Source organism: Homo sapiens, chromosome 7 (assembly GCF_000001405.40).
Source record: "Homo sapiens chromosome 7, GRCh38.p14 Primary Assembly".
NCBI classification, from domain to species: domain Eukaryota; kingdom Metazoa; phylum Chordata; class Mammalia; order Primates; family Hominidae; genus Homo; species Homo sapiens.
In genome coordinates this window covers 83,204,347-83,211,194 of record NC_000007.14, presented here as the reverse complement: position 1 = coordinate 83,211,194, position 6,848 = coordinate 83,204,347, and the positions used below count along the sequence as shown (strand labels likewise).

Below are 6,848 nucleotides of genomic sequence, written 5' to 3'. Positions count from 1 at the left end.
AGCAAGCAAAATATACAGGTTAGCACAGTCTTCTAAAAAATAGTTAAAAAAAAAAACTTAGTACATTATTTAAGATTCCACATAGGAGTAAGTGACACAGTAATAGCATCCACCAAAAAAAATAAAAACCGCCATAACTACTTCATAAAGAAAAGCTCTTGGCCAGGGATGGTGGCTCATGCCTGTAATCTCAATGCTTTGGGAGGCCCAGGTGGGGCATAGCTTGAGCTCAGGAGTTTAAGACCAGCCTGGGCAACATGGTAAAACCCTGTCTCTACCAAAAATAAAATTAAAAAAAAATAATCTGGGTTTCGTGGCACACGCCTGTAGTCTCATCTACTCTGGAGGCTGAGGTGGGATGATCAAGCGAGCCCAGGAGGTGGAGGTGGCAGTGAGCCAAATCATGCCACTGTACTCCAGCTTGGGTGAAAAAGCAAGACCCTGTCACACATACAAAAAAATGCAAAGCTATTCTTTCCATGTATCAACGTTCTGTCATTGTCAATGAGTCACAGCCTAGCAAGGCCACTCTGTATTATATTCACCACAAAAGTGAATATAATTTATTCTAATCTTATTTCTTAGTCATAATTGTGATAAATTAGAGTTATTCTTATTTAAAAATACAATTACTGATACCATTTTATGACCATATTCTATATTTATGTATTAATATAGAAAAAATATAAACACTTATTTGAAGGCACAAGATTGAGATTTTGAGTGTGTAGGCTCAGTCATATCTTCAGAATTTAAATCAGACATACTTGCCTAATGTATGAATTTTCACATTTTTCACAGATTTCAATAGTAAAATGATTATTTTCAGGGGCTTTGTTTGTGTGTTTGTTTATTAGAGATGAGTTCTTGCTATGTTGCCCTGGCTGGCTTTGAACTCCTGGTCTCAAGCGATCCTCTTGCCTCAGCCTTCTGAGTAGCTGAGGCTACATATATGTGCCACTATGCCCTGCCTCAGAGTGATTCTTAAATGTGTGCGTTTAGGAAGATTTTAACTACCCAAATTCATTAATAAATATACGTTGTTAGTGTTTATATTCAGGGAGAGTGTGCATATTAAAATCCCTACTTGTCAGCTGGGTGTGTTGGCTCATGCATATAATCTGGGGTGGGAGGATTGTTTGTGTCCAGGAGTTTGAGACCAGCCAGAGCAACACAGTGAGATCCCATCTCTACAAAAAATAAAAAATTGCCGGGCATAGTGGTGCACGGCTATAGTCCCCAGCTACTTGGGAAGCTGAGGTGGGAGGATCAATTGAGCCCTGGAGTTTGAGGCTGCAGTGCAGTGAACCATGATCACACTACTGCACTCCAGCCTGGGTGAGAGTAAGACTTTATCTCAAAAAAAAAAAAAAAAGAAAAAAAAAATCTACTTCTCTTGGTTACCAGTGCAGTGTACTTTGAATAATAAAACAAACTATCACAAGTTATAATCTTTTTTCTAAGTTTTGTTAAAAAAGGAAAACTTTCTCCATAATTTATAGGGTGAATCAAATGAATCTTTATATAATATTTGTGTTTCAAATGTACATCTTTAAAACTTGGTAAATATGTTAATGTACTGAGAATTTTTATAACATAAAAAACTCTCTGATGTATCTAATTTACATGTTTTAATGTATATATTTTTGTGAATAAAGGATATACTGTTTTAATTCAGGTATTTGCCTAGTGTTTCTTGAGAACTTCTATGAGAAAGCACAAAACATATGAAATAGAACATAAGTTTTGCTAGCCATTTCATGCAGTCACATGACATCTGGAAGTCAGGTTCAGATTCACTTTTCTTAAGATAGTTTATCCCACAAAATGCTTATGACTCATGGATTCAAATCACCTTAATGGAATGATTTATATGTGCTGTTCTCTTATCACCTACAATTTTATACCTGGCCCAAGTACCAAAATTCAAATCTGCATGGGGCATCTTGTTGTTTAATGTATTATTGATAAACAATTCAAAGTTAAAGTACTTGATAAAAGCAAACTAAAAGTGTTGTATATACTGTTATCAGGACAACATAGTCCAATGAATTGTTCTTCTCCATTCCTAGAATTTATCTGCTTAAAAACTGAGACTTTTTTGGAATAATAGCACTCTCTCCTGATGTGGGCCAGAAAAATACGACATGTTTTTGTTCTTCAGGTCTGGTTTTCACTCTTCACTTAAAAAAAATTGTCTGTACATAACATCTCTCCTACTTCATGGTACTTTAAAAGCATCATGAAAATTGTTTTTCACCTTTGTGTTTTAAATGATAAAATAGCAATATTTTTTCACTCTTTATGTTTGAAATTATCACCTCCCCAATGATATGGAGGAAACCTCTTTAGAATGAGATATGGATAAAAGAAAAAGCACAGCTTAGAATCTAAAGAGTTGAACCTCAGAGTTAGCTATTAACACAATGACTACATAATCATAAATTTTAAAAATTCGAAGATTCTGAGACTGTTTTGAATGGCTTTCCTCATACATAAAAATAATAAGGTAGATTAAATAGTCACTAAAATGTCACCATTCAACTACTCTGGAATAATAAAATTAATAGATGTCTGTATAGAACTTGGCAGTTAACAAAGCTTTTTCACATATATTACTTTATTTAACAGTGTTTCTAGGTCTAATTTGTCTCCCAAATTGCAATAAATATACTAAATCTAAAGACGAATATTTTCCATAAATAAAAAAGTTATTTGGGCAAGTAACCTAACCGGTTTCTTCATCTATAGCATAGATGATAATAGATGTTTCACAGTGCTGTATAAGCAGAAATTCTATCCACAGTTTCTTTAAAAGGATAAACCTCAACTCTAATTAGCTACTTAGCTCTTAGCCATGTAATTGCTATTGCATGTAATTGCATTTTCCCTCTAGAATTCAGTATCAGGTTTAAGGCTATGGATCTCTGACTTGAATAAAGTAGCGTGTATAATAAAATATGTCAAGCAATAAATATCAAGATAATACAATTGTACCATTTTATTTGTGGTAAATAATTACCTTGTTAACTAGTGATGCACCATTCAGATTTTCCTTCAGTGAAACAATGAACATCTTGTTGTCCTTACTGTTACGAGCATGTCCGCTGCCACCCTTTCATAGCCAGCCCCTCTGAAATTGTGTTAACCCAGCCTCCAGGTCCAAGGCTACATGGCTCACATTCAATGACTGATGGACATGGGGCTACAAATGACTAATTATTTCTTTTGAACTCAAGACCACTATGGAGGACCATTCTTCTTCCAAATTTTTCCTGTGGGCTCAGTTTGGGATGTAGCTCCCCAACACTTTCTTTCCCTTCTCCTTTACAGATGTTGATCCCAGAGATTTCTAATAAACACTGCATGCAAAATTCTTTCTCAAAGTCTGCTTCTTGGAGAATTCAAACTGCAAAAAATATTTATGACACATACCTATCTTCCGTAAAAATAGTATAATGATACTTAAATAAGTCTAGGTTACCTAAATGAAAAGGATGTTAACTCAATGATGATAAAAGACTATGTAAGTGGGTGAGCATATGTGTGCACATGTGATACACTAGAAACAAGTATATAGGTCTGTGACTGACAAAATTAATTATAAGCCAAATCTTAAATTTCTCCCTTCTTTTTTTACTAACCAAAATATAATTTTGTTTACAGCAACATTATTTCTTATCCCATGAAAAATATTCATTTGTCTAGCCTCTCTAGTGCTAGGGAATACCATATAATATATTTCAGGTCTGTGAGATTGAAAGAGCATCCTTTTGCAAGTCCTGAGAGGGTTTCTCTTTGTAATTAGTGGAAAAATGAGACTGTCACTTCTCTTTGTATCCTTCTTTCTGCTTTTAGCACCTATGTGCTGTCTGGAGATGAAGCATCATTCACTAGACAATGAGGAGAAAGAAAGGAGGACAAGGCTAAAGATCAGAAACTCTGGCCCTGACATTACTGAGCTACTAAACCAGCTTCAAAAGTCATTGATTTCTAGACTTTCTGGTATACATGGAAAATAAATGCTTTTGCTTAAAACAAAGGGACGTCATGTTAACTTTCAATTACTGGACTAGCTTTCTTGATTCCTTTGAAGAAATTTTGAAAACTGTACTTTGTCATGAAATTTTTAAAAATTCTAAGTCCCTTTGGCCCTACTTTTAAGATGTTAAGAGCATACTAGAACATCAATTTTTTTTATAAAGGATGAGGAGAAAGAGAGAAAAATCCAGTCATTCATGTTCTGGTAGATTATTGGAAATTAAAAGGGAGAGTGAGAAGGAGCAAGGATATCAGAGGCAGAGTTCTTATCCTCCCTCATGCTCCCACCTGGTCCGCAGCTCAGGTTGGGTGCCATAGAGGCTTCCAAATTTAACCAGGGGAGGAAAGTGTCAGAAAGCTGCAGGCCCTTAGGAAATATTCCCCTTTCAGTTCTGCCATATCAAAATGCCCTATTAGTAGGTACATGAACATGGCAGAGAAAAGCAGATAAATAGATGAGCCTAAGACTGTGGTCTTGGTTCTTCAGAACTTGTTCCATTTTGGAAAAGATGGAGTTAAACAACTGTCCTGTAATCCCTGTTAATCCTATAGGAAGGGAGGCCAGGATATTCCTGGGGAAGAAAAAAGCAGGCAATCTGGTCTAATCTTCTGGTAAAAGTACTAATAACAAACCTCCTGGAAAATAAACCAATATTTATCAGGAAGAGAATTTTACCTATGGAATTCTTTTAACAGGATATTCCTGGTTTAGGGTTGCTTATGGTAAACAATTATAGAATCTACAGATTCATGAAGCATGACTGCAGACTCTGTCATATGTGCTATGCAAATATATAAGTATAAATGAGGATATTAAATAACTGAGATGTTCCCTGTTGTGTAAGGCAGCCTTGTGCACTTCATTAAAGATCTCATGTATTTTTCTTGGTCATAGAGCATGACCGATCTGTGAAGGAAGCACCTAGGACCTGGGACCTGGTGTATCCAGACATTTTCCTTCTTCATCTGGATACTTACTTGTATTTTTGACATTGTTTAGGAAAGTTAGACACTGGGTAATATATCTGACTTGTGTGTCACTTGGATTTGACAATATGATCCTTTGTGTTGCCTCACATATAAAGGACTCTAAATTGCTCCTGTGCTCTATGAAGAAGATGCAAAGGTGCTAAAAGGGCCAGGGAACTACCAAAGACTTTACACAAAAAAAACAAAAAAAGTCACAGTGTTCAGAAAATAAATGTTTGGTCCAATGTTGGTGAACTTATTGTGATCCAATAATTTTTGTAGAATAAAAGCTCCATAAGAATGGGGATTCATTATTCTGTTTTGTCACTCTATTTCTAATATATTTACTGAGCGCATAGTAAATTCTCAGTAAATAAAAATAAGACATATAAAATAATATTTATCAATAATAAATATAGATAATTAAATGTATAAATAAGTAATTGCATATATCATAATTTAAATAGTCTTTTCAGGTAATTCATCCTCTGCTTGGATGTCTCAGGGATGTGCTCAAATATGTCCCAGGTACGGCGCTCTCATGCTCCTCTCTAGACGGTATCAATGTACATGGAGTAGGAGTTTATGTAACCATGCAATAAAAGAGAGATTAAGAAGGTCATTGAATTAACATTGGAATTATCTGAATCTCCTGAGATCTCTGCTGTGGTTAGAGTAAGAGAGACCTCAAATATCAATATGCTAGCATCTAAAGTAATTTAGAAACTTATTTCTTTATAAGTGTTTCTAGCATTGATAATCATTGTCATGCTAAAGATGTGAAGAAATTCAGCCTCAGGACTCAATCCTGACAAGTGGCTTCTTTCTTCTAGGATTTACCTTTCTATTTCTTCCTGCGTAATACACTATGGGATTAGGACTTGAATTCAGAAGGCTGCAAAAGAATACGTTTTGAGGGCAAAACGAAATCAAATATTTAATATTTGCAAAATATTTTCTCTCTTATCTAAAGTCACAAAGTCCCTCCTGCTTACCCTGATTTGCTTTCTCCTCTCCTACATATTTCTGCTGCCTCCCTTTATACAGCAGCAGAAAAAGGTAGGCAATTCCCATTTGGAGATCCAAAGATTTCAAAGAGAAGGGGATGGTAATGGACGCAGCCTTGAAAAAGAGAAGTGGTGAATGAAGACATGGAGAAAAGGTTTGAGGAAGAGAAAATCAATGAGAATACATTCTTCTCTAGTCAAAGAAATAGCCCAGCAGGTACACTGTTCAGTGAGTCTCCCATTTCAGGTAAATGGGTTTAGACAAAGGACACCATTTAACTATACCTCCCAGATCTCCTCCCAGATCTTTGACCACTGACAGATATTTGAGTCATCCGCATGGTGAGCAACAGAAAGACAGGAGAGCAAGTTACAAAGATTGTAGAGTGATCAGAATTGACTAGAAGTGCCAGATGAAGTTCAATTCTTCAAAAGGAGAAGAAAATGGGTTACTTAGCTGAAATATAATGTAGAAAGGCAATGAATTCAATGAAATAAGTAAGGTCAGCAAGGCCTTGGAAAGAAAGAGAGAAAATTAGGAAGGGGAAAATTGCGTTTATATTCTTATGAGAACAAAAAGGAAAGAAAAAACACAGTGGGAGTTTAATCAAGTAGTTAAGAGCTTTTTGCATACAGTTTTGAAAAGAGAGAAAATATGTGCACTTAGAGACTGGGTCATATAGGGACTAGTTACACCCATTCTAGAAAGTGCCCAGGAAAAGTTTGACAGGATTTTTGATGCAGAAAGATGAAGCTCTGGAGATAAAAAATAATTCAGCTTTATTAACCCTCCCACTGAGAAGGATGCTTTTGTGAGAGACAGATGACACA

General features: G+C 35.6%; 1 annotated feature.

Annotated features, from left to right (window-relative positions):
* Positions 5,945-6,567: an enhancer, noted in NCBI's record as "OCT4-NANOG hESC enhancer chr7:82833944-82834566 (GRCh37/hg19 assembly coordinates)". NCBI's record gives its function as "activates a minimal SCP1, AML or CMV promoter by ChIP-STARR-seq in primed H9 embryonic stem cells {active_cell/tissue: H9 hESC(primed)}" and the evidence as "EXISTENCE:reporter gene assay evidence [ECO:0000049][PMID:30033119]".